We start from the raw sequence: 27974 nt of genomic DNA on the forward strand, positions 1-27974 counted from the left end.
GGGATAGAACAGGCAACGGAAAGAAGGATGTGGTATCCACGATAAGCAGGCTAAAAAAGCAGGCTTTTAAAAAGGCTTTTCTAGCACGATTTGCACAAAGAACCCCTTCTTGACTATATATATTTGTGTTCATCCAACTGGATTTTGAGGTGGATTCCTCAGACCCGTATCTGGCTAATGATGGATTTCAATATATTTTCTCTAAGCACCCCGAAGCGTTGCACGAAACCTCTAGGTTGTGGCCTGCCCGCCCCGAGGCCAGGTGAATCCGGCTCAGCAGCAGAGGTGTCTGCAATTACACCCTCTAATCCCCTACTGTCAGATATGACCCTTTCCGCACATACCTGAGGGCCCTCTGGTAAGATTGATCTCTTCCTCAGTGACCAAATAATCCACTCTTCCGTTCATGTTTTACAGCTCGTCTGGCTTCCTACTTGGGTCAGCTGGAGTGCAGCACAGGTGAAGGTGAATCAATCTCGGCGCTGCGCCCACAGCACAGCGGTTTCGGTTTCAGCAGCCTCGAGACCCGGAAAAGGAAGCCCGAAGGACTCGGAGCACTGGGAATGCTGGGAATCGTGGTTCCTACCGCCAATGGATTGCAGTTTCTCACCGGTTCCCAAAGCCAAGCATGAGGTGAGCAAGGGGCAAGTTACCATTCTAATTTGCCATTGGAAGCAAGTGGGAAGGGGGTGGCTAGTAAAAGTAAGGGACCTAAATAAATTGATATTGTCGAGAAAAAAAATTTTAAAAAAATCTCCTGCCATCCTAGAAAATCTCCACAAATGTAGAAAAGAAAAAAAAGGTGTATTATTCTGTAAGCATCGAACCAGACCGGAATGGGTGTTACAGGCAATCCACTAATGAGATTGCAAAGAGAGACAAAAATCTCACATTTTATGTAGCCAAAGCACACGCATCTTCTCATGTAAGACGAGTTAACATGGTTTGGTATTCAATTTTTGGTAGTTCACCGTTGGAGTGGCCGCCTGTGTTGGTTAATTGCCTTTATCCAAAGGAAAAATAAAACGTTATCTCTGTGACAAACAGGTACTTACGGCTTGGAGCAAGGCGCTTCGGGTAACTCCCGCGAGCCTGGAACATAGGGGCACTGTCTACCTTGATACTTAAATTTCAAGGAGTTGGCTCCCGGGACCTGACGAAAACAATTCCTGGGTTTTATCTGACAAGAGGCTTATTTAGCTTTTAAAAAGATACACACACACACACACACTACACACGGATTATAATTACAATTTGCTCAAGAAAATGTTTTAAGAAAGGGGGGTGGGGGAATGTCTCATTCTTTTGGCAACTGGGAAAATTCAATCTTTTTAATGTTTTAACTCTTACAATAAGGTTAACGCATGGCTTAGGTATAACTTTAGGCCAGTCTTCCTGACTTTTGGAATGAGACATTCCAAACTGAACTTGAATGAAACTTCAGGGGTCAAAAACACAAAAGCCTAAAGAGCCAGGAAGGTGACAACCTTGTGAAGCAACCTGGAGTTAGACCACAGGGATTGGTGGGGATCTTAGAGGACTAGAAAGTGCAAGGCCAATGTAAAGACATTTAAATTTAGAGTAAAAAACCAAAGCAGCAGCTACTATGTTTACCAAACAGAAGGAGATAGGGGCAGATTCGGCAGGAAGACCTCTTATTTGCTCACTCTGAGAGAAGTTAAGATGGAATAGTGGAGGCTGAGCACAGTGGCTCACGCCTGTAATCCCAGCACTTTGGGAGGCCGAGGCGGGTGGATCACCTGAGGTCAGAAGTTCAAGACCAGCCTGGTCAACATGGTGAAACCCTGTCTCCACTAAATATACAAAAAATTAGCTCGGTGTGGTTGCAGGTACCTATAATCCCAGCTACTCGGGGGGCTGAGGCAGAAGAATCGCTTGAACCCGGGAGGCGGAGGTTGCAGTGAGCCGAGATTGCACCATTGCACTCCAGCCTGGGCAACAAGAGCGAAACTTTGTCTCAAAAAAAAAAGATGGGATAGTGGAAATAACACAGATTATGACTTACAACTTGGGCTCAAGTTTCCATTCCATTCCCTTAAACTTGTCTGTCTTTGAGCAAGGAATCCAACATCTCTGAACTCTGTTTCCCCATCTTAAAATGGGATTGATAGTAGCTCTTCATATGTTGGTTGGATGAGTGAATAAAATGATCATTATAAAAGGCAGAGAATGATAAATTAAAAAAATGTGTAATATAAATAAATGACATTGGGGGCTGGGCGGGGTGGCTCACACCTGTAATCCCAGCACTTTGGGAGGCCAAGGTGGGCAGATCACTTGAGGTCAGGAGTTCCAGAGCAGCCTGGCCAACATGGTGAAACCCCATCTCTACTAAAAATACAAAAAAATTAGCTGGGCGTGGTGGCGCAGGCCTGTAGTCCCAGCTACATGGGAGGCTGAGGCAGGAGAATCACTTGAACCCAGGAGGCGGAGGTTGCAGTGAGTGGAGATCGTGCCACTGCACTCTACGCTGGGTGACGGAGCAAGACTCCATCTCAAAAAATAAATAGATAAAATAAAATAAATGACATTGGAATGTCAAGAGAGAAAAGATCAAATAGAAATGGGGGGAAAATCAAGAAATCATCAATGAGGAGATTTGTAAGGAAAAAAACACAAGGTTTCTTTTAGACCACTGTGGGGACGGTGGTGGGGGAATCACCTCTCAGTACCTGGGAAAATTGTCCTTTTCATCTGAACACACAGCTTCAAAAGAAATACATAGGGCAGTGAAAGAAAAAAGTATCCTAAACAAGTTGAGGAAATGCTGGTAATAAGTAGAGTGAGAGATGGGATATGTAAATTGCCTTTATTCCCTAATAGAAGTATAGGAATAATGGTGTCAGAGGCTTTTGAACTGGAGCGACTCCATCTTGAATAGGGGCTGGGTAAAATAAGGCTGAGACCTACTGGGCTGCATCCCCAGGAAGTTAGGCATTCTAAGTCACAGGATGAGATAGGTCAGCACAAGGTACAGGTCACAAAGACCTTGCTGATAAAAGAATGTGGTAAAAAAGCCAGCCAAAACCCACTAAAATCAACGTGGTGATTAAAGTGACCTCTGGTCATCCTCACTGCTCATGATATGCTAATTATAATGCATTAGCATGCTAAAAGACACTCCTGCCAGCGCCATGACAGTTTACAAATGCCATGGCAACATCAGGAAGTTACCCTATATGGTCTGAAAAGGGAAGGAACCCTCAGTTCCAGGAATAGCCCACCAATTTCCCCTAAAACTCATGAATAATCCACCCCTTGTTTAGCATATAATCAAGAAAAAACCATAAAAATAGCCAACCAGCAGCCCTCGGGGCTGCTCTGCCTATGGAGCAGCCATTCTTTATTCCTTTACTTTCTTCATAAACTTGCTTTCACTTTACTCTATGGACTTGCCCCAAATTCTTTCTTGCACAAGGTTGAAGAACCCTCTGTTGGGGTCTGGATCAGGACCCCTTTCCAGTAACAATGGAAGAACAAGGAAGCTAGCTGGGCGTGGTGATATGCCTGTAGTCCCAGTTACTCTAGAGGCTGAGGCGGGAGGATCATTAGAGCTCAGGGGTTTGAGGCTGCAGTGAGGTGTGATTGAAGCACTGCACTCTAGCCTGGGTAACAGAGCAAGACCCCATCTCTACTAAAAAATAATAAAAGTAAATAAATTAAAAAAAAAAATGAGGGAGCTTTAATATGTAGGAAAGCAAATGACAGAGAAAATGAGATCCTACTCAGAGGAAACAATTGAGAAAAATTATGGAATCAGGCCGGGTGCAGTGGCTCACCCCTGGAGTGTAGACTTTACTTCGTGGTCCAAGATGCTTAAGATGGATTTTGGAACTTCAACCATCATATCTACATTCCAGGAAGGTAATGAAGGAAGGGCAAAGAAGACCTCCTGGAAATGTCATAGACTTCTTGTAATCTCAGGGATAGAAATGTGCCAACCATAAAAATCAAGGTTATTATTATTAACTGAAAGTGGGAGAATGGATATTGGGAGGCCACTGGCAGTCTCTGACACAAGAAGTGACACTTTCTGTCTGAACTAACCTTTCTGCTTATGACCTTGAGTTATGTAAAAAATGTAGAATGTAGTGGAAACTTCAATCTACCATTTACAAAATTAGTGGAAACCTTGCCTCACCTTAATCACACCTTGCTCTATTTTTGCACATTTCCTGTCATATATTCACTTTGTCTTTTTAATCTCTCTTGTCTGCTTCAGTCCCCTCCTACTTCAGTATTTTATTCTATCAGCCTCTTTGATGACCAACTCATGAATATGTTTGTATTTGGGACTTATCCACCTCTCCTTTGACATAGCATTTGTTCCAACTTTTTGCCCTTACCTATTTAGTTTCAAATTCCTGCATATTTTATTTTTTCTATGCTTCCTTAGGTGACAAAACTCTTTTGTGATTGACACACTTTTTTCTTTGTTGTATTATTATTACATTTAATCAGACGATATTAGTTTGTTAATGTTACTGTAACTAATACTACAGATTGTGTAATTTGAACAATGAAAATGTATTTTTTCACAGCTGTGGAGTCTGGAAGTCCAAGATCAGGGTGCAGGTAGAGTTGGTTTCCTCAGAGGCTTCTTTCCTTGGCTTGCAGATGGCCATATCTTCTACCTCTGTCTTCACATGGTCTTTCCTCTGTGTGCACACATGTCTGTTTCCAAATTTCCTCTTCTTATAAGGACATCGTTCATATTAGATTAGGGCCCACCGTAATGACCACATTTTAACTTACTTACCTCTTTAAAGACCTTTTCTCCAAATATGGTTACATTCTGAGGTACTTCAGCAGATGAATTTTGCAGGCATACAACACAGCCCATAACACAGATTACAGTGAAGTCACAGCCTTTGGCATTGCATATCTCTGCTCTGGCCCATTACTTGTTGATTTTAAAGTTTAGACCTGATAGCAGTATTATTGCTTTAATTTTCAAGTTCTTGCTGCAAGTTGCACTGCTGACCCCAGCTATTGATGACAGCAGATAGCCACAAGGCATTTACAATTATTTTATCTTCTATTGTCCTTTTTGATTGGTACTCTTTATTCTTCTGTATATATATGCTATCTTTATAAGAAGTCTAATTCAGACCCCTGGCTCTAATGCCATTAATATGCCAGCTGTCATGTCTCTTCACTGAGCTTCAGTCTTGTGTAACCCAGTTGCCTACCTAACATCTCAAAATTTAGATGCCTAGCAGGCATCTTAAATTATGATAAAATGAGAATTTCTAACCCTTATACCCCTAAACTGATACCTCTCTTAGCTGTTCCCCTTCCTTGAGTAACTCAGTTTACTCAGTTCATATGAATATCTTAAGAACAGCTTTTGATTCCATTCTTTCCCTTGCATTCTACATTCAACCCATCAAAAGTATAGCTGTTGCTATGTATGAAATACAGTCTATCTGACCATCTCTGATACTACCAGCTTATTACAAACCACCAGTATGTATTGCCTCTACTTCTACTGTTCTTCCTGAATGTTTTTTCTGCTGCTCACTCGATATCTCCCATCTATTCTTCCCTCAGCTGGAGCAATCTTACAAAAATGTAAATCAGATCATGTCATGCCCCAATCTAAATATTTCAGTCATTTCCATCTCATGTAGAAAAAAATCGATATCCTTAACATTGCCTCTAAGACCAGATAATCTGGCTTTTGTCAAGCTCTCTAACTCGTCTACTACCACAACCCCCTTCCCTCATTCATTACATCTACACTGAACTTTTTTCTGTTTCTCAAACAAATACATTTGGTTTAGTTTAGATCTTTGCATTTGCTGTGCCATCTGCCCCACGGCTTCTTGTTCACTGCTTTATCTCCAGTACCTATAAGAGTTGCCAACACAAACTTGGCTTTCTTTTTGTTTATTTTTTTAAATTATTTTTTGTAGCAATAGGGTCTTGCTGTATTGCCCAGGCTGATCTAAAACTCCTGGCCTCAGGCAATCCTCCTGCCTCAGCCCCTGCAAAGGATTGGGATTATGGGTATAAGCCATCGTGTCTGGCCTTATAATAGGCTTTCAATGAATGAATGAATTTTAGTGATGATGAAACTTAAACTCAGTCACTTGCTAAAGATCACACTGCAGTTGTCATTTGCTGTCTCATCACCTGCTGCAGTCAATAGTGTACTAGTTCTACTGCCTGAATTCCTCTCAGCTGTTCTCACTGACATTGCTGATGCGCTCAAAATGAGTCACATACACCAGTGGAACAGAAGAGAAAGCCCAGAAATAAACCCATACATCTACAATGGACTAATTTTTTGACAAAGGTGCCAAGAACATACATTGGGGAAAAGACAGTCTCATCAATAAATGGTGCTAGGAAAACTGGACGTCCATATGCAGAAGAATGAAACTAGACCCCCTGTCTCTCAACATACATAAAAATTTAAAAAATGGATTAAAGACATATCTAGGACCTCAAACTATGAAACTACTACAAGAAAATATTGGGGGAAACTCTACAGGACACTGCTCTGGGCAAAAACTTCTTGAGTCATACCCCAAAAGCACAGGCAATCAAAGCAAAAATGGACAAATGGGATCACGTCGAGTTAAAAACCTTCTGCAAAGCAAAGGAAACTATCAACAAAATGAAGAGACAACCCACAGAATGGAAGAAAATATTTTCAAGCCACTCATATGACAAGGGATTAATAACCAGAATATGTAAGGAGCTCAAACAACTTTATAGTGAAAAAATCTAATATTTCAATTTAAAAAATGGACAAAATATCTGACTAGACCTTTCTCAAAAGAAGACATACTAATGGCAAACAGGTATATGAAAAGATGCTCCACTTTGGGAGGCCGAGGTGGGCGGATCACGAGGTCAGGAGATCGAGACCATCCCGGCTAACACGGTGAAACCCCATCTCTACTAAAAATACAAAAAATTAGCCGGGCGTGGTAGCGGGCGCCTGTAGTCCCAGTTACTCGGGAGGCTGAGGCAGGAGAATGGCGTGAACCCGGGAGGCGGAGCTTGCAGTGAGCCGAGATCGCGCCACTGCACTCCAGCCTGGGCGACAGAGCGAGACTCCGTCTCAAAAAAAAAAAAAAAAAAAAGAAAAGAAAAGATGCTCAACATCATCGATCATCAGCAAATGGAAACTATAATAAGATATCTTTTTACCCCAGTTAAAATGGCTTTTATCCGAAAGACAGGCAGTAACAAATCCTGGCGAGGATGTGGAGGAAAGGGAACACTTGTAACTTGGTGGGAATGTAAATTAGTACAACCACTATGGAGAAGAATTTGGAGGTTCTTCAACAAACTGAAGGTACAGTTACCATAAAATCCACTAATCCCACTGGTAGGTGTTTAGCCAAAGGAAATTAAATCAGTATATCAGAGATGTCTGCAATCCTGTGTTTATTGCAGCACTATTCATAATAGCCAAGATTTGGAAGCAACCTAGTGTCCATCAGCAGATGAATGGATAAGGAAAATAGTACTCCATTGTGTATATGTATTACACAACTCCGATCTCTATGGAACTTTTATGGTGTGCTACATTGTGTATATGCAAACCTATACAATGTATGCGTATACGCATACCCATACAATGTATGTGTATACATACACCCATACAATGTATGTGTATATGTATTACAGTGCTCAATTTTGTGTATATATATACATATACATACACATATACAGTGTACACATGTAAGTATATGCCCACATATACATATACATATGTCCACATATGTAATACATTGTATGTTCACATATATGTAATACATATGCAATGTATTTGTATGTATACATGCATGTATGCAATGTATTTGTATGTATACATGCATGTATGCAATGTATATGTATACATGCATGTATGCAATGTATATGTATACATGCATGTATGCAATGTATATGTATACATGCATGTATGCAATGTGTATGTATACATGCATGTATGCAATGTGTATGTATACATGCATGTATGCAATGTGTATGTATACATGCATGTATGCAATGTGTATGTATACATGCATGTATGCAATGTGTATGTATACATGCATGTATGCAATGTGTATGTATACATGCATGTATGCAATGTGTATGTATACATGCATGTATGCAATGTGTATGTATACATGCATGTATGCAATGTGTATGTATACATGCATGTATGCAATGTGTATGTATACATGCATGTATGCAATGTGTATGTATACATGCATGTATGCAATGTGTATGTATACATGCATGTATGCAATGTGTATGTATACGTGTATGTATACATGCATGTATGCAATGTGTATGTATACATGCATGTATGCAATGTGTATGTATACATGCATGTATGCAATGTGTATGTATACATGCATGTATGCAATGTGTATGTATACATGCATGTATGCAATGTGTATGTATACATGCATGTATGCAATGTGTATGTATACATGCATGTATGCAATGTGTATGTATACATGCATGTATGCAATGTGTATGTATACATGCATGTATGCAATGTATATATGTATGTATACATGCATGTATACATTGTATATGTATGTATACATACACGTATACGTGTATGTATACATTGTATATGTATGTATACATACACGTATACGTGTATGTATACATTGTATGTGTATGTATACATGCATGTATACGTGTATGTATACATTGTATGTGTATGTATACATGTATGTATACGTTGTATATGTGTGTATACATGTATGTATATGTATATGTATACAATGTACACGTATGTATAGAATGTACATATATGTAATACATATACAATTACATATATATGGACATACAATGGAGGTCATTATGTGTGACCTCCATGTTGCACTAAGCAACAAAGGTTGAGATTACAAAAGCTGCTTATAAATTAGAGCTTCTTCTTAAGAGAAAACACCCCTGGGAGCTGGCACAGTCAGACGAGGAGAGTCCTGCTTGTCACTTTGCATCTCAAGTTCCCAGCCTTTTGGCTGGCTGCCAGACATGACTTGACAATCATGTTCCCCAAGTGGCAGAGACCAGAGAGAGAGAACTTCTCACTTGGTTACAAAGCCAAGCTCTCAAGACATAAAACAAGATGAAATGAGAATCTTCATATGATTTTCCCCCTTATAACAAACTACCCCAAAAGACAAAAGGAAAGCAAAGATTAACTCTGGGGGGAAAAGATCAAATAGAAAACAAGACTACTCACAAACACCAAAGTCACTTTGCCCCCAAAACTAGTTCACATAAATATTTTCTCCTGCCAGTCTAAATTTAGAGAGGGAAAGAGGAAGAAAAGAGTCTTACCACTCTCACCTTGACCATTCTCCACAGGCAGAGATCCAGCAGACTGACAGTATTAAGAATTCTTACCTTTGCTGGCCTTTTGTCAGAGGGCCAGGATTTCAGGTGCAGCAGTTTCGAGCAAGCAGTGTTCCAGCCAGTGAAGGATGCCCCACGTTGGGCACCAAAATTTGTAGGGAATGTACGGATCACCTCCACCCATCTCTGACTGGGTCTAGGAATGATATTGATGCAAGATAGATTAAGAGGAGAAAAGGATACAAGTTTTATTACTTTTTACATGTACAGGGGGATCCTCACAAGAGAGTGAAGATCTGAAGAAATGGCCAAAACAGAAAGCTTTTATATTTTTTTAGATGAAGAACAATACGTCTATGAGGAAATGACAGGACAAAAGGATCTAGGCTAAGGGCAGTAATTCCAGGAAGGTCACTAGGAGATATACTGGGGAGGGGTAAACCTAGTAGAAGGTAAGGGTTATTAAGTTTATTTGTACAGGTCCATTGCAGCACCATTTCCAGTCTCTGGTAATAGGGTTACTGTCTTGTCCTAGTACAGGAAAACCATCTTCCTCTATGTGCTGAGACCAGCTCAGTCGTGGAGACCCTAACCCAGTGGTGCTGGAGGAATTAAAGACACACACACAAATACAGCATGTGGAGTGGGAAATCAGGGGATTCACAGCCTTCAGAGCTGAGAGCCCCAAGCAGAGTTTGACCCACATATTTATTGACAGCAAGCCAGTGATAAGCATTATTTCTATATATTATAGATTAACTAAAAGTATTCCTTACGGGAAACAAAGGGATGGGCCGAAACAAAGGGATGGGCTCTGGCTAGTTATCTGCAGCAGGAACATGTCCTTAAGGCACAGATTGCTCATGCCATTGTTTGTGGTTTAGGAACGCCTTTAAGCAGTTTTCCACCCTGGGTGGGCCAGGTGTTCCTTGCCCTCATTCCAGTAAATCCACGACCTTCAGTGTGGGTGTCATGGCCATCAAGAACATGTCACAGTGCTGCAGAGATTTTACTTATGGCCAGTTTTGGGGCCAGTTTATGGCCAGATTTGGGGGCCTGTTCCCAACATCTATGGAACTTTTTTTTTTCTCTTTTCAACAGAGTCTCACTCTGTTACTCAGGCTGGTGTACAGTGGTGTGATCTCAGCTCACTGCAACCTCCACCTCCCAGGCTCAAGCAATTCTCATGCCTCTGCCTCCTGAGTAGCTGAGATGATAGGCATGTGCTGCCACACCTGGCTAAATTTTTTTTTTTTTTTTTTTTGAGACAGAGTCTTACTCTGTCACCCAGGCTGGAGTGCAGTGGTGCAATCCTGGCTTACTGCAACCTCTACCTTCCAGGCTCAAGCAGTTCTCCAATTCTCCTGCCTCAGCCTCCCGAGTAGCTGGGATTACAGACATGCACCACCATGCCTGTATATTTTTTATAAAATATTAATTGTATTTTTATATACATTTATATGTATGTTTTAAATAAAATATTATATTGTATGTTTTATATATAAAAATATAAAAAATAATTTTTATATTTTTAGTAGAGATGGGGTTTCACCATGTTGGCCATGCTGGTCTTGAACTCCAGACCTCAAGTGATCCACCCACCTCGGCCTCCCAAAGGAATTCTTATATTTTTAGTAGAGATGGGGTTTTGCCATGTTGGCCAGGCTGGTCTTGACCTCCTGGTCTATATGGAAATTTTATGGTTTGCTACATGTGGAAAACAGCAGGTCAAATGGCTGTTACTGCAAATGCAGTTTTTGAAGTGCTTTCAGCTTGAAATAATCAATATGCCAATTTGGCATATTTTGGGGTGGCATATCCTTAACTCCTTCACATAACAACCTGGACCCACAGCAAGGTCATTTCTTGTTTTGGGCCCTACTCAAAGATGATCACTTCATTATTGTCTAGTGTATGGGCCAGAGTAGTATTCATAGGTGTGAAATGTTTGCTTCAACAACCCATGGAGGCATATAGCAGGCACCACCTTTTTCTTTGTGCTAGGGAATGCAAAATGCGGCAATTTGCCTTTACTTCAAGGGTATATCCCACCATGGTTTTAACCACTGTACCCTTAAATACTCTAATAAAGTATCATGTCCCCAAATCTTTCCTACCCCTGGAATGCATATCTCTTAATAAGACCTCCAGTGAACCAACAATGCAGCCCCATCAGCATGATACTCAATGAAGTGAATCCGTATAAGGTTTTCTGTATGTTCAAACAGTCTAGATTTCCTCAGATTATATTATGCCAGAGGCAGGTGAAATAACATAGCCCTGGAGGCAAGCCTATAAATAAATATTTGTGTCCACGCTATATGAGTGCAGATTTTTTTCTGATGGCTCTTTTATTATCAGAATAGAAAATAACACATTTTCAGTTCATTGGTTGCATCCTATGCACCCAAGACCGTATTAATCTGATCCAGCATGTTAACTTCTCTGGTGGAGAGGCTAAAATGAGAGCACATAACATATGCTTTACTATGAAGTTGTATTATCAGGATTAGGCTAGCCTCAGAATATGAATTTGGAATCTTGTTTCTTTTTTTTTTTTTTTTAGTTTTAATTTTAGGTTTGGGGGTACATGTGTACGTTTGTTACACCGATACACGTGTCACGGGGGTTTGTTGTACATATTATTACATCACTCAGGTATTAAGCCCAGGACCCAATAGTTATCTTTTCTGCTCCTCTCTCTCCCAGCCTCCCCCGTCAAGTATTCCCCAGTGTCTGTTGTTTCCTTCTTTGTGTTCATAAGTTCTTATCATTTAGCTTCCACTTATAAGTGAAAACACATGGTATTTGGTTTTCCGTTCCTGCGTTGGTTTGCAAAGGATGATAGCCTCCAGCTCCATCTATGTTCCCACAAAAGACACGATCTCATTCTTTTTTTCTGGCGCAAAATATTCCATGGGGTATATGTGCCACATTTTATTTATCCAGTCTGTCACTAATGGGCATTTAGCTTGATTCTATGTCTTTGCTATTGTGAACAGTGCTGCAATGAACATTCACGTGCATGTGTCTTTATGGTAGAATGCTTTACATTCCTCTGGATATATACTCAGTAATGGGACTGCTGAGTTGAATGGTGGTTCTGCTTTTAGCTCTGTGAGGAACCGCCATACTGTTTACCACAATAGTTGAACTAATTCACACTCCCACCAACAGTGTATAAGGGTTACCTTTTCTCCACAACCTCACCAGCATCTGTTACTTTTTGATTTTTTTTCCTGAAAGTTTTAATTTTTCTAATTTTTATTTTACTTTCAGTTCTGGGATATATGTGCAGAATGTGCAGGTTTTTTACATAGGTATACATGTGCCATGGTGGTTTGCTGCTCCTATTAACCGATCATCTAGATTTTAAGCCCAGCATGCATTAGGTATTTGTCCTAATGCCCTCCCTCCCCTTACCCGCAACCACCCAACAGGCCCCAGTGTGTGATGTTCCCCTCCCTGTGTTCTCATTGTTCAACTTCCACTTATGATTGAGAACATGCAGTGTTTGGTTTTCTGTTCTTGTGCTAGTTTGCTGAGGATGATGGTTTCCAGCTTCATCCATGTTCCTGCAAAGAATATGAACTCATTCTTTCTTATGGCTGCATAGTATTCCATGGTGTATATGTGCCACATTTTCTGTTTCCAGTCTATCATTGATGGGCATTTGGGTTGATTTCAAGTCTTTGCTATTGTGAATAGTGCTGCAGTAAACATATGTGTGCATGTGTCTTTATAGTAGAATGATTTATAATCCTTTGGATATATACCCAGTAATGGGATTGCTGTGTCAAATGGTATTTCTGCTTCTAGATCCTTGAGGAATTGCCACACTGTTTTCCACAATGGTTGAACTAATTTATACTCCTACCAACAGTGTAAAAGCAATCACATTTCTCTACATCCTCTCCAGCATCTATTGTTTCCAGACTTTTTAATGATCACCATTCTAACTGGTGTGAGGTGGTATTGATTTTTTTGTGGTTTTGATTTTCATTTCTCTAATGACCAGTGATGATGAGCTTTTTTTCATGTTTGTTAGCCTCATAAATGTCTTCTTTTGAGATGTGTCTGTTTATATCCTTCACCCACATTTTGATGGGGTTATTTTTTTCTTAGAAATGTCTTTAGTTCCTTGTAGATTCTGGATATGAGGCCTTTTTCAGATGGATAGATTGCAGAAATTTTCTCCCATTCTTCAGGTTGCTTGTTCACTCTGATGATATTTTCTTTCGCTGAGCAGAAGCTCTTTAGTTTGATTAGATCCCATTTTTCAATTTTGCCTTTTGTTGCAATTTCTTTGGTGTTTTAATCATGAAGTCTTTGCCATGTCTATGTCCTGAATGGTACTGCCTAGGTTTTCTTCTAGGGTTTTTCTGGTTTTAGGTTTTACATTTAAGTCTTTAATCCATCTTGAGTTAATTTTTGTATACAGTGTAAGGAAGGGGTCCAGTTTCCGTTTTCTGCATATGGCTAGCCAGTTTTCCCAGCACCATTTATTAAATTGGGAATCCTTCCCCATTGCTTGTTTCTGGCAGGTTTGTCTAAGATCAGATGGTTGTAGATGTGTGATATTATTTCTGAAGCCTCTGTTCTATTCCATTGGTCTATATATCTGTTTTTGTACCAGTACCATGCTGTTTTGGTTATTGTAGCCTTGTAGAATAGTTTGAACTTGGGTAGCATGATGCCTCCAGCTTTTTTTTTTTTTTTTTTTGCTTAGGATTCTTGGCTATATGGGCTCTTTTTTCGTTCCATATGAAATTTAAGGTAGCTTTTTCTATTTCTGTGAAGAAAGTCAATGGTAGCTTGATGGGAATAGATTGAATCTATAAATTACTTTGGCAGCATGGCCATTTTTGTGATATTGATTCTTCGTATCCATGAGCATGGAATTTTTTTCCATTTGTTTGTGTCTTCTCTTATTTACTTGAGCAGTGGTTTGTAGTTCTCCTTGAAGAGGTCCTTCATGTCCCTTGTAAGTTGTATTCCCAGGTATTTTATTTTCTTTGTAGCAATTGTGAATGGGAGTTCACTCATGATTTGGCTCTCTCTGTTTGTCTATTATTGGTATATAGGAATGCTTGTGATTTTTGCACACAGATTTTGTATCCTGAGACTTTGCTGAAGTTGCTTATCAGCTTAGGAGTTTTTGGGCTAAGACTATGGGGTTTTCTAAGTATACAATCATGTCATCTGCAAACAGAGACAATTTGATTTCCTCTCTTCCTATTGAATACCCTTTATTTCTTTCTTTTGCCTAATTGCCCTGGCCAGAACTTACAATAATATCTTGAATAGGAGTTGTGATGAGGGCATCCTTGTCTTGTGCCAGTTTTCAAAGGGAATGCTTCCAGCTTTTGCCCTTTCAGTATGATATTGGCTATGGATTTGTCATAAATAGCTCTTATTATTTTGAGATATGTTCCATCAATGCCTAGTTTACTGAGTGTTTTTGAAGGTGTGTTGAATGTTATCGAAGGCCTTTTCTGCATTTATTGAGATAATCATGTGGTTTTCGTCACTGGTTCTGTTTATATGATGGATTTACGTTTATTGATTTGTGTATGTTGAACCAGCCTTGCATTCCAGGGATGAAGCTGACTTGATCATGGTGGATAAGCTTTTTGATGTGCTTCTGGATTCTGTTTGCCAGTATTTTATTGAGGATTTTTGCATCGATGTTCATCAGGACTGAAATTTTCTTTTTGTTGCATCTATGCCACGTTTTGGTATCAGGTTGATGCTGGCCTCATAAAATGAGTTAGGGAGGAGTTCCTCTTTTTCTATTGTTTGGAATGGTTTCAGAAGGAATGGTACCAGCTCCTCTTTGTACCTCTGGTAAAATTCAGCTGTGAATCCGTCTGGCCCTGGGCTTTTCTTGCTTGATAGGCTGTTAAATACTGCCTCAATTACAGAACTTTTTATTGATCTATTCAGGAATTCTACTTCTTCCTGGTTTAGTCTTGGGAGGGGATAAATTCCAGGAATTTATCCATTTCATCTAGATTTTCTAGTTTATTTATTGATTCTTTTCTCTTTTCTTGTTTATTAGTCTGGCTAGTGTTCAAGGGCAGGAAGCATCCAGCAGTGGAGAAAGGTGTGGCCTGGGAGGCTAGGCCAGTCTCTCTTTTCACATTTTCCTGCCTGTTTATATTCTATCAATGCTGGCAACTGATCAGATTGTGCCCACCCAGATTAAGGATGGGTGTGCCTTTCCCAACCCACTGAGTCATATGTTAATCTTATTTGGTAACACCCTCACAGACACACCCAGGATTAATACTTTGCATCCTTCAATCCAATCAAGTTGACACTCGGTATTAACGATAAGAAGACCACCCCTTGTCAACTTGAACCCATATACAACTCCTGAGATCATACATAATCTTCAAATAAAGACAATAGTAAGGTCATAGTTACCCCTAACATAACACAACTATTCTTCGTACAACCGGAAACGCACCAATCCCATACCCAAATACTATTATATAATGTTAACAATACTTAAATGCTGATATGAAGTCAATAAATCTTATGTCACAAGATAAAGGAGAAAGGAAATAAACTGAAGATGTTTTCTTAGTACAAGTGTATACATGCACAAACATGTTTTTAACAAAGAAGGAGGAAATACTCATGACGATTACAGTCCTCATTTCTATAGCTGATCACATGATCGTAACTGGTACTGATGACTTCCTTCTACCACTACCCATTCAGTATTCCTTTTGCCTTCAGCAAGCACCTCAGCAGGTCGCGTTTTTTTTCCTAGTGGAATGACCCAAGCCTTCATTCCTGAAGAGTCTGGGCTATCTGTGGTCCTGCCTGGATTGGGCTGTTGTAGTTTCCCATTGACCTGAATCACAGGGCATGGTAATACTAAGAGATGCCCTAATGGATCTCCTGTATTCTATGCATACTCTTCCTTCCCTTCATTGTGTGTTAGTAGACTGATTTCATCTTGATAGTCCAGGTCAATCATGCCAGCTAACACAGTAATTTTCTTCTTAGCCTGTTGACTTAAAGGTAGGAGGAGTCCAAAGTGTCCAGGTGGCAATCTTAACTTCCAGTTTAATGGAATTGTTGTGTCTCCTGGTGGCAGCATTCCTCCCTCTTGAACTAAGACCTCTAGGCCAGCAGAATGTAATGTCGTAGGAACAGGAAGCAAAAATTTTGCTAGTGGATCACTGGGGTGATGGATGGTGAGTGGTGCCACTTCCACTTCCACCCCTTGATTCCTGGACCAGTGAATCCTGGCTATAGGAGAAACAGTACCATATATTGGATGCTGACTCAGAGCATACACGGCCTTCTGGAGAACTTTGCCCAAAGCTTGCAAAGTCCTGTCACCTAGTAGGTGTTGTAATTGTGACTTCAAAAGACCATTTTACTATCAATCCAGCTGCTTCAGGATGATGGAGAACATGGTAAGACCAGTGAATTCCATGAGCATGAAACTACGCCACCACTTCTTTAGCCATAAAGTGAGTGCCTTGGTCAGAGGCAATGCTGTATGGAATACCATGATGGTGGATAAGGCATTCCATGAATCCACTGATGGTAGTCTTGGCAGAAGCATTGCATGCAGGATAGGCAAACCCATATCTGGAGAAAGTGTCTATTCTAGTGAGGACAAACCTCTGCTCTTTCCATGATGAAAGAGGTCCAATATAATTAACCTGCCACCAGGTAGCTGGCTGATCACCCCGAGGAATGGTGCCATATTGAGGGCTCAGTGTTGGTCTCTGCTGGTGGCAAATTGGGCACTCAGCAGTGGCCATAGCCAGAGCAGCCTTGGTAAGTGGAAGTCCATGTTGCTGAGCCCATACATAACCTCCTTCCCTGCCACCATGGCCACTTTGTTCATGGGCTTATTGGGCAATGACAGGAGTGGCTGGGGAAAGAGGCCAAGTGGTGTCCACAGAATGGGTTATCCTATCCACTTGATTATTAAAATCCTCCTCTTCCTCCTCTGCCGAGGTCACTCGTTGGTGAGCACTCACATGGGATACAAATGTCCTCACAGTTTTGACCACTCAGAGAGGTCTGTCCACGTACCTCTTTCCCAAATTTCTTTGTCACCAATTTTTCTGCCATGCTTCTTCGAAGTCCCTGACCATCCAGAGAAACCATTGCTACAGCCCATGAATCAGTATATAATTGCACATCTGGCCATTTCTCCTTCCATGTAAAGTGCACAACCAGGTGCACTGCTCAAAGTTCTGCCCACTGGGAAGACTCCTTTTCACTGCTGTCCTCCAGGGAAGTCCTAGAAAGGGACTGCAGTGCTACAGCTGTCCATTTTTGGGTGGTACCTGGATATCGTGCAGAACCATCTGTCAACAGGCCCTACGTAGTCTCCTCTTCCTCTGTCAACTGATCATAGGGAATTTCCCATGAGGCCGTCGGTGCAGGCTGCGGGAGAGGAGGCAGGGTGGCAGGAGTGGAGACCATGGGCATTTGAGCCACTTCCTCATGTAACTTACTTGTGCCTTCAGGACCTGCTCGAGCCAGTGTCCAGTAGTCCCCGAAATGTCTGATCATTTTCCCTTTCCCCAGTGCACAGTTACCCTGGTAAAAGGCTGGATTTGGAGATCTCCTTGGGGAAGGATGGGAGAAAGATTAACTGCATAAATTGTTGGTGATGTAGTGGGGTCCTTCCTCAAGGGGACTCAGCCTCCCCTTCATTCAAGGGGTTCTGGGTCTGTAAACTGGCTCAAGTCTGGAAATTGATTGAGGGGCTGTGATTCTCTGTTTTTATCATTCGAATTAGTCTTTTGTCCATTTGACCTAGAAGTTTTCTGCTTGTATAAATTAAGTAGAAATGCAGTAGGCTTCCTATCAATTTCACTTCTAGGAACACCATGATTAATTAGCCAATGCCAGAGGTCTACACAAGTCACACTATTCTGATTGCTGCTTTGCCTCTGCTGTCCATTACAATAGCTAGGCCCATCTTGACTTTGATGGTTGAGTGCTGCCACTTGGCCTCTGCCACTTTGGGATCCAATTATTCCCATTGTATATAAATTTTGTAGTTGAGTGACTGCAGTTCCCATGGTTAGATCTGACATACAGAGAAGAGCAATTACAGGGCTCTTCAAAGATGCAGGTGCTGCCCTCACAAATCTATTTCTCAAGACATTGGTCAAGGTTATATCTTCTGGATCCTCCCAGCTGGGATGAGTAGGTCTAAAGTGACTAATCCAGTCCACCATCCCAATATCCCTAAGCCTTCAGATCCTTTCCTCTACATTAAATCAAGGGAGATCAGGCATTTCCAGTTCACTCATAGTGGGCCATCTTTAAATCCATATTTCAGGTAACCAAAAAAAAAACTGATCATACCCTTTTTTAACTCCCCAAGCTGCAACATTAAATGCAGAGTACTAGTTAGAGGGCCCAGATCAATAAATACAGCCTGATTCAACACTATATTCCTTCCACCATTATCCCACACCATTAATATCCATTCCCATGCCTGTTATTTAGATTTCTGTTTATGTAAATTAGAAAACTCAAGCAGTTCTTTTCAAGTGTCACACACTTCCTCATGGGTCACACTCTCAGTCTCACCTCTAGGTACCTGCCAGTTTAGTCTACTTATAGGTCTAGAAGCAAACAGGGGCATTGGGAGTGGCTCTTGAGGAGAATAAACATTATCTTGCCTGGTGATTGCCTCAGGGGAGGCCATCACTATTGCCTCAGGCAGCACAGGGTTTATCTCCTCAGACAAAGGTGGAAATGCTGATTGCAGCATGGGTCAGGGAGGCGATGCTGCTGCTACTGGGGATAGGGTAGCTGTTTCTTCTGGCAAAAAAAGAAAGTCTCATCAGAGTTTACAAACTCAGTGTCCCCAGCTTCATCAGGGTCCTCCTTCACATCCCCATTCCAAGATGCAGGGTCTCATTCTTTTTCAATCAATGTCCTCACTTTAACAATAGACACCTGACAAGGCTGGGTATGCAACTTTTGTTCCAGGTCAGCCACTCACATGATAAGAGCTTGTCTCTGTTTTTCCATAATTTCAGCTCTTTCTCTACAGGAGATAAAACTGTCACTCAGGGCAATCTTAGCAGATTTGAGGCTCAGCATCTGCCTCTGAGGCCAGGAGATAAAATCCCTGAGTTCATCATTTTCTTTCATCACTTTGTCTGCTAGACTTAGGAGCAACCAACCAGTTTCATTATGTTCCCTTGTTCTCCACATATGGTCAAAGGTATTATGTATTGAGTCACTAAACTCCTTGCCTCTCACGAGCAATGAATCAGGGTGTCAAATGCACTTATTTTGCCTAACTCTCTAAACAGTTCATGCCAAGTACTATCAGTGTTCTCCATACTATCAGAAGTAGAGTCCTTAGCATTTTTGGGTCTAATCATATTAAGCAACCAACCACAGAAACCCCAAAACCAACAAAAGAACTCCATCCTTAATATTCTGTTCCTCTAGAATCACTCCTGGTACCAAAATCTGTATTAGTCAGGGGGACAGAACTAATGGAATACATACATACATACAGATAGATAGATAGATAGATAGGAGTTTATTAAGTATTAATGTTGTGGGAATCAGGAAACCAGAGAGACCAATGTGTGGAAGAGGAGGATTTTTTTAGGCGGCCACCAATTCAACAGATTCATATCCAAAGGCTAAACACCAAACAAAGACCGGGCTTGACTTTTATACATACATCTGAAAAGGGCACAAAACCTGTAAGGTGGGTAAGCAAGCTTACAGAAGGAGAACAAAGGCAGTTTATCAAACAGTGACAGGTTTTACAACTCAGGCATGTCTTGTGACCATTGCCATACTGCACAGCTGGAAAACAGGAGCTTACAAAATCCTTGCAGACTTGCAGAAATAGTTACAAAAGTAGTTGTAAGAGCAGATCAAAGGATAATTGTATAGGGAAAGAATTTCAAAGGGGGAACTGATAAAAAGCATTTGTTTTTCTTATCCTTGCTCGGGGTTGGGGGGGTGTTGGGAGAGTCTCTGGAGCACGTTCCTTTGGGCTCTGGCTTTTCAGATAGTTTTATCAAGGCCCTGCTAGGGCTCTGCCTATTGCTGGCCTTGGAGGTAGTCAGCCAAGTACAGGAAAAGTTGTTTTTCCTTTTACTTAATTTTCTTTTTACGTTTTCTGCTTCATTCCCCGCTTTGGTGCTTCCTATAAATGAAGTTTAATAGAAAGCATCATCATCAAATTTTAATTCTTCATGGGGAGTTAGTTCTTACTTGGCAAGGGCTGCTATTTGGTTAGAGCCATTAGCTGAGTAGTTTGGCTTGTTAGAAGAGCCTCTATTGCTGATTGGATGTTTTTGACAAGGAGGGGTAAGAGACAAGGGAGTATTAAGCAACCTCCTAATATGGCCAGAACTATTCCTACTAAGGTCCTGAATCCTCCGAGGGATGAAAACCAGCCCCCGAAGAGGGAGTCTGGAGACCATCCCCTCCACATCTGGACTGAAACATGGGCTAATTTTTGGATTTTTACAGTTATATCTTCAATGACTTTTCCATTGTCATCAATTTCTAGGCAACAATTAGATTGAACTTTCCACATACCCCTCCCTCCTGGGCTAGGAGGTGGTCTAAGGCCAATCTATTTTGATAAATAGCGTGTCTCATTTTTGTGGCTTGCTTGGCCAGCAGATTTAAGGCTCTTGCAGTGTCATTAGTAATGATTTCAAGCACTGCCTGCAACCTTATGATGTGGTTGGGCATGTAAAAGGGGTGTGGTATCCATACATTCCATCTTCTGCCCAGGTGGCCGGGCCATAATGTTGGATTATTCTCTCAGGGGGCCATTCATTATCCTTCCAATTCCCTATGGCTATGCCCCTTTTATTTCTCCTTTTAGTTTCATCATAAACAGGGTACCTGAGGCTTCTCCCTGCTTTAGAGGGATTAGGAAGAAGGACGTTCTAATTGTTCCTAGTACACAAGCTCCTGTCCATTTAGCTGGCAGCTGCCGATATGCCTGCAGTCCACAGATCCAATAGAGGCTAGAGGGTGCCTGCCAGATATTTGGAACATTAAGTTGGTACCAAGAGTTGTTTAAGGAAGGGAAACTGGATGGGCTTGGGTGGGGCAATGCAGAATTATATTTCCCGTCCCACCATAAAGTTTTCCCTACTGTTTCATTGGAATATTGTTGTCCCAGGCAAGTTAATTCTCCTACCGGGTCTGTAAAGGCTTTTCCCCAGTGAGCAATGCAGAGTCTCCCAACAATAGAAGTTTTTAAGAGCCAGACGCTCGGGCTTGTGAGCGTTGGTTTGGGGGAGGGGACATTCAGAGTAAAGTTATCTTGGGGCATTAGCTCCCTTGCTTCCTATGGCCATTGATCTCTCATGTTGGTTCCCCCACAGATGTAACATGAGGAGTCGTGCAAGCTGCTAGCTATATTTTCAGCTAGTTGGGGAAAGAGGTGTCTGGCCAAGGTAGAAGGTTCAGGCAACTCCTGGTGGATGTGCTCACAGAATGACTCAAAAACTCAGAATTATTGGGTTGAATGGGTCTGAGTTTTCTTTATAATATATAAATAGACTCCTGGGTCAGTTCCCTGACCACTGATCCATAATGTCATGGGGTAACCTGTAGTCCATATGGGCAGATTTGGCTCCAAGATGGTAAAATTTAAAGGATTGCAGGTTCTTGTCTTACAATATGGTTTTGCTGGCATTTTGGTAAGCCTGACGGTCTCCTGTGGTCGTCCCTGACTTTCTACAGGGTCAATGGACCACATCGTGCTGGCCTGACAGTCTGCTTCCAGAGACCTCAGGGAGCAAAGAGGGGTCTTCTCCTGAAAGCTTCCTCTCCTTGGTGCGCATATATACTTGTGACAGTTACTATAGTATCTTTCCCATGATAGGCCGTCACAAGAAACTACAGGATAAGAGTAGCTGATGTATGCAGCTTGGCAGTCATCAAAATACAAGGAAATAGGCCCCCTGTAGGAGGGAGGGACCTTTTGGGTTAGGGTTAGAAGGTTCCCTTCTTTTGCCTGACATAGGCCTCAAACCGGATGGACTCATAAGGTGAGGAATTAGCATAATAACATATATAAGGCTGGTCATTTCCCAGGTCACAGACTAAGTAGGTCGTCTGATTGTGAATACAAGTTCCTCGGCGAGTCCCTGTACATTTACAGTAAGTGTGATGTAACAGCGTTCTAGTTACTGTGCTCCCCGACCGTGTGGTGTGAGTACAGTGGGGGCACCCTTCTATGGGCCCATCCCCTGGCACAGGTAAAGGGAGTGCCCTGATGGGGAGGAGTAGGAACAAAGAAAAGAGCAGCATCTTTATACCCAGCAAGGACAAAAGAGGTTTTTACCCAGTGGAGGAGGTTGAGCAAAGCAACAGAACAACAGTATAACAATTAATATTATAAGGAAAATTACTAGGCTTAAGATCTCTAGCCACATTACTTCCCTGATGACAACTTAAGCTTCAGCCGTGCATAGACTAGTAAGCTTCCAGGGTAACTAGAGCATGGCTGTTGTCTCCTCAAGCTTCAGCCATGTGTAGACTGGTCAGCTTCTGGAGTGACCAGAGCAGGGCTGTCACCATCCTTAATGGCAACTCAGTCCCATCATAGGATTAGCCGGGTTGGATGGTCTGGGTCCTGTTGGCTGGTCCACTTGTCTTGGACTGCTGGTTTCTGCCAACTGGGGTGGATCCAAGGCACAATTCCTGCAACTCTAACAGCAGTGGGAGTGGACAAGATTACAGTATGGGGCCCATCCCATAGGGGTCCCAAAGTGGTTGGATTCAATTTCTTGACCCAAACAGAGTCCCCGGGTTTAAAGGGGTGTGCTGGGTCTGCCAGGCTTATGGGCATTCTTTCCCGTACCCAGCCATAGACATCTTGCATGGCTATCCCTAAGCCCTGCATTTGCTTTCTTAAGGTTAAGTCCCTTAGCTCCCGGAGATCACCCTTAATTTGACCTATGATTGGGGGTGGCTGGCTGAACAAGATTTCATAGGGTGAATACCCAGTTGTTTGGTAAGGGTGCACCTGACTCGGAGGAGGACCATGGGTAGGACCTGATCCCACCTTAGATGGGTCTCTTGGCAATATTTCTTCAGTGGCTGTTTGAGTGTCTGGTTCATGTGCTCCACTTTGCCTGAGCTCTGTGGCTGGTAGGCTGTGTGTAATTTCTATCTTACTTTTAACAGCTGTGTTAGTTTTTGAACTATTGTGGCTAAAAATGCCGGTCCATTGTCTGACCCTAGAGTTAGGGGCAGTCCAAACCTGGGATAATGTCTCTTAACAGTACTTTAGTCACTTCTCATGTTTTCTCTATTCTGGTGGGGAAAGCCTCAATCCATCCTGAAAAGGTGCAGATGAGTACTAACATGTACCGATAGTCCCCTGCTCGGGGCAGCTCAGTGAAGTCCATAAGCAGGTTTTCACAGAGTGTGGCTCCCATTTCCTGAATCCCTGGGGGCCGAGTGGGCCCCTGTCATGGGTTGTTCTGGGCACAAGTTAGACATTGTTCACAAACAGCTTGGGTGATGGCAGTGAGCCGCAGCACATAGAAATGGTGTCCCAGTAACATTTCTAGTGCTGTTTTCTCCATGTGAGTTCCTTGATGGAATTGTCTTACAAATTTGGAAGCCACCATTTCAGGAATGGCTAGTCTCCCATCAGAGAATTTCCACCATCCTACCTCAATATATTTTCCGGATTCTTGGGCAAACCAGGCCTTCTCATTTGGAGAGTAACTTGAGACCTCCAGGAGGGGAGGTTCTGGGAGAGGAGGCATAGCCAGGGCTTCCTCTCCAGGATGCAAAGTTGTCACTGCAGCCTGTTTTGCTTCCCTGTCTGCCTTTCTGTTTCCTTTGGCCTCTAGTGTCCTGGACCTCTGGTGCCCCCATACAGTGCATAACAGCTACTTCTTTGGGGCCCATACAGCATCTAAGAGCTGTAAAACTTCCTCTTTGTACTTTATTTATTTTTCCCCAGCAGTTATTAGTCCTCTCTCCTTATATATAGCTCCATGAACACGCAATGTGGCAAAGGCATACTTGGAATCTGTATAAACATTGACTTTTTTGTCTTTTGCCAGCAAAAGAGCTCTTGTCAGGTCTATTAGCTCTGCCTTCTGAGTGGAAGTTTCTGTAGGCAAAGGTTGAGCCTCTGTCACTGAGTCCAGTGTTACTACTGCATACCCAGCTTGGCGGACCCCCTCCAGCATAAAAGTGCTTCCATCTGTAAAGTATTCAACATCTGGGTCCCTGAGGGGTTGGTCTGTAAGGTCTCCCTGGCTTGAGAACACCTCGTCTACTGTTTCCACACAGTCATGGAGGGGGATCCCCATTCGATTGGGAGCAGGGTAGCCAGGTTAAGGATGTTTACTGTTTCCAAAGTTATGTGGGGATTTTCACGTAGGAGCCCCTGGTACTGAGTCATCCTCGGATTCGATAACCAATGGTGCCGTCTCTGATCCATTAACGTTATAACCAAGTGTGGTACCTGGATGGTTAGTTGCTGCCCTAGAGTCATTTTGTCAGCTTCTTGTGCCAATAGGGCAGTGGCAGCTAGTGCCCTGAGGCAAGGAGGCCATTCTAGCACCACAGAGTCCAATTGTTTGGATAAGTGTGCCACCAGGCGATGCCATGATCCCATGACTTGAGTCAGGACCCCTATAGCTATTCCCTTTCATTCATGGACATATAGAAAGAAAGTCTTAGTTATATCTGGCAGTCCTAAGGCTGGGACCTGGGTTAAGACTTTTTTAATTTGTTTAAACGCCTTCTCCTGGTCAGCCTCCCAGAGGAGGGGTTCCTTTCCCCCCAACTTTGTGGCTTCATACAAGGGCTTGGCCATTAGTGAGAAATTTGGGATCCAGATACGGCAGAGCCCTGCTGCCCCGAAGAATTCTCTTATTTGGTGCCAAGTTGTTGGAGTTGGGAGTGCACAAACAGGCTGCTTTTGTTCATTGCTGAGCTGGCATTCCCCTTGACTCACTAGGAAGCCTAAATATTTAACCCTTTCCTGGCAAATTTGGGCTTTCTTTCTGGATACTTTATAACCAGCTTTCCATAGGAGGTAGAGGAAGTCTTGGGTTCCTTGGTAACAGTCCTCATGGGTTGGGGCTGCTAAAAGGATATCATCTATATATTGGAGCAAGGCACAGTTATTATTTGGCAGGGTGTAGGCCTTGAGGTCTGAGGCCAATGCTTCCTCAAAAATTGTGGGAGAGTTTTTGAATCCTTGTGGGAGCTTAGTCCAGGTGAGTTGCTCCCCTGTGCCTGTGACTGAATCATCCCATTGAAATGCAAAGAGGGGCTGACTACTTGGTGCTAGGCAAAGGCAGAAAAAGCCATCTTTTAAGTCTAGGCAAGTAAACCAAGCAGCACTTGCCGCAATGAGTCCCATTAAAGTATACAGGTTTGGTACCACTGGAGGGATGGTCACTGTAGTCTGGTTTACAGCATGTAAATCTTGCGCCAGCCTATATTCACCAGACCCTGGTTTTTGTACTGGTAAGTGGAGTGTTCCAGGGTGACTGGTATTGGACTAAGATTCCAGGATCATAGAGCCACTTTAAGTGGTTGTAAATGCCCCAAATGGCTTCTCAGGGGAGTGGGTACTGGTGAACCCGAACCGGAGTTGCTCCTGGTTTTAATTCTACTACTACCAGTGCCTAATTTACAGCCATCCCAGAGGGTTATCTTCAGCCCGTACTCCAGGAATTTTAGTAAGTAACCCAAACAATTCCTCTATCCCCAGCATATGAGGCAGGTCTGGTGCCTGTGTCTTTTTTGTGTATAGTCTCCATTCCTCAGCCTGCGGGATGGTAAGGATTAACACCATGTCAGGGAGGGGCACCAAGTCATGGGAGAGCTGCTTCCTTCTCTGGGTTTGAGTTCCCCCAGTGGCACGTGAGGTCACGGTTCTCCCCCAGCCCAGGGGCCTAGACCCACAGGCAAAGGAGACAGCAAACCTGTTGTCTCCACCCCTGCCTGGCTCACCAAAATGTTGCAGGAATCAGGAGATGAGAGAGACCAATGGTTGGAACAGGAGGATTTTATTAGGTGGCCACCAACTCAGCGGATTCATATCCAAAGGCTGAGCACCAAACAAAGACAGGGCTTGACTTTTATATATACATCTGAAAAGGGTGCAAAACCTGTAAGGTGGGTAAGCAAGCTTACAGAAGCAGAACAAAGGCAGTTTATCGAACAGTGACAGGTTTTACAACTCAGGCATGTCTTGTGACCATTGCCATACTGCACAGCTGGAAAACAGGAACTTACAAAATCCTTGCAAACTTGCAGAAATAGTTACAAAAGTAGTTGTGAGAAGAGATCAAAGGATAATGGTATAGGAAAAGAATTTCAAAGGGGGAAACTGATAAGAAGAACTTGTTTTTCTTATTCTTGCTCTGGGTGGGGAAGGTGTTGGGAGAATCTCTGGAGCTCATTCCTTTGGGCTCTGGCTTTTCAGATAGTATTATCAAGGCCCCACTAGGGCTCTGCCTATTGCTGGCCTTGGAGTGAGTTAGCCAAGTACAGGAAAACTTGTTTTTCCCTTTACTTATTTTTCTTTTTACATTTTCTGCTTCATTAACTCACATGATCACAAGGTCATCAGCAGGCTGAGGGGCAAAGAGAGCCAGTCCAAGTTGTAGAACTGAAGAACCTGGAGTCTGATAGTCAAGGGCAGGAAGCATCCAGCACGGGAGGATGGAGACCAGGCCAGTCTCTCGTTTCACATTTTTCTGCCTGCTTATATTCTAGCTGTGCTGGCAGCTAATTAGATTGTGCCCACCCAATCTGCCTTTCCCAGCTCACTGAGTCAAATGTTAATCTCCTTTGGCAAAAACCTCACAAACACACCCAGGATCAATTCTTTGTATCCTTCAATCCAATCAAGTTCACACTCAGTATTAACCATCACACCACTATTTTCTCTTCACAGGACATGAGACTTTATACAACCTGCTAAAAATGAGCTATTGCAACCTACACATCTAGAAATAAACCATCCTAGCCACGAGAGATCAGATGAAACAAGACCAGAGACTCATTTCCTTGTAAAATACTTTCTCCAAAAGATTTTTAAAAAGAAAAGGGGGGAAATGTGAAAGGAAAATATCTTGGCCCCCTCAAGCTGGGAACCACTCAGGGCAAATCTGCCTCCCATTCTATTCAAAGTCATCTTTCTGCTCACAGAGATAGATGCATATTCTGATTGCTTCCTTTGGAAATACTTAACAGAAACTCAAAAAAATGCAACCATCTATCTCTCACCTACCTGTGACGTGGAAGCCCCCAGTTGGGGGGGCCTTACTTTGAATTGTCTCCACCTTTCTGGATGGAACTGATGTACTTCTTGCATATATTGATTGATGTCTCATGTGTCCCTAAAATGTATAAAACCAAGCTGTGCCCCAATCACCTTGGGCACATGTCTTCAGGACCTCCTGAGGCTGTGTCATGGCCACATCCTCAACCGTGGCAAGATAAACTTTCTAAATTAACTGAGACCTGTCTCAAATTTTTGGGGTTCAGAATCCATAAGTCTTTTTTTATTTCTTGATGATTAAAGTCACATGAACTAAAAGGCATTACAGTGTTTATTTTTTCTTCAAAAATATTTGATCCTAGTGCTTATC

The 27974-nt window shown here is 42.3% G+C and overlaps 2 protein-coding genes and 1 long non-coding RNA gene across 5 annotated transcripts in view, besides 5 other annotated features; 1 reads left to right on the plus strand and 2 right to left on the minus strand.

Annotated features, from left to right (window-relative positions):
• Positions 1 to 535, minus strand: part of SYNJ2BP-COX16 (SYNJ2BP-COX16 readthrough) — a 92010-nt gene extending 91475 nt beyond the window's left edge. For all 3 annotated transcript variants that reach the window (NM_001202549.2, NM_001202548.2, NM_001202547.2), the window contains exon 1: positions 345 to 535. In NM_001202549.2, coding sequence (NP_001189478.1) covers positions 345 to 408 — 64 coding nt within the window. In that variant the 5' untranslated portion in view covers positions 409 to 535. The remainder of the gene's footprint in view (positions 1 to 344) is intronic.
• SYNJ2BP (synaptojanin 2 binding protein) overlaps positions 1 to 535 on the minus strand; it is a 50592-nt gene extending 50057 nt beyond the window's left edge. The window contains exon 1 of the mRNA NM_018373.3: positions 345 to 535. Within this exon, the coding sequence (NP_060843.2) occupies positions 345 to 408 (64 nt within the window). The 5' untranslated portion in view covers positions 409 to 535. The remainder of the gene's footprint in view (positions 1 to 344) is intronic.
• Positions 311 to 390: an enhancer, noted in NCBI's record as "active region_8653". NCBI's record gives its function as "activates an Ori minimal core promoter by ATAC-STARR-seq in GM12878 lymphoblastoid cells {active_cell/tissue: GM12878}" and the evidence as "EXISTENCE:reporter gene assay evidence [ECO:0000049][PMID:35858748]".
• Positions 311 to 1521: a biological region, named in NCBI's record as "BRD4-independent group 4 enhancer GRCh37_chr14:70883594-70884793".
• Positions 322 to 1521: an enhancer, noted in NCBI's record as "BRD4-independent group 4 enhancer chr14:70883594-70884793 (GRCh37/hg19 assembly coordinates)". NCBI's record gives its function as "activates an origin of replication core promoter dependent on BRD2, P300/CBP, MED14 and CDK7 cofactors, and independent of BRD4, by STARR-seq in HCT116 cells {active_cell/tissue: HCT116}" and the evidence as "EXISTENCE:reporter gene assay evidence [ECO:0000049][PMID:35650434]".
• Positions 501 to 610: an enhancer, noted in NCBI's record as "active region_8654". NCBI's record gives its function as "activates an Ori minimal core promoter by ATAC-STARR-seq in GM12878 lymphoblastoid cells {active_cell/tissue: GM12878}" and the evidence as "EXISTENCE:reporter gene assay evidence [ECO:0000049][PMID:35858748]".
• On the plus strand, positions 530 to 27926 carry LOC124903339 (uncharacterized). The gene is made up of 2 exons (XR_007064237.1): positions 530 to 633; positions 27278 to 27926. It is a non-coding gene; the product is annotated as an uncharacterized LOC124903339 (long non-coding RNA).
• Positions 8904 to 9104: a silencer, noted in NCBI's record as "peak2189 fragment used in MPRA reporter construct". NCBI's record gives its function as "represses an SCP1 promoter by STARR-seq MPRAs in K562 erythroleukemia cells {active_cell/tissue: K562}" and the evidence as "EXISTENCE:reporter gene assay evidence [ECO:0000049][PMID:32103011]".
• Positions 27927 to 27974: the final 48 nt, after the last annotated feature.

This window comes from Homo sapiens, chromosome 14, assembly GCF_000001405.40.
Source record: "Homo sapiens chromosome 14, GRCh38.p14 Primary Assembly".
Taxonomy (NCBI): Eukaryota; Metazoa; Chordata; class Mammalia; order Primates; family Hominidae; genus Homo; species Homo sapiens.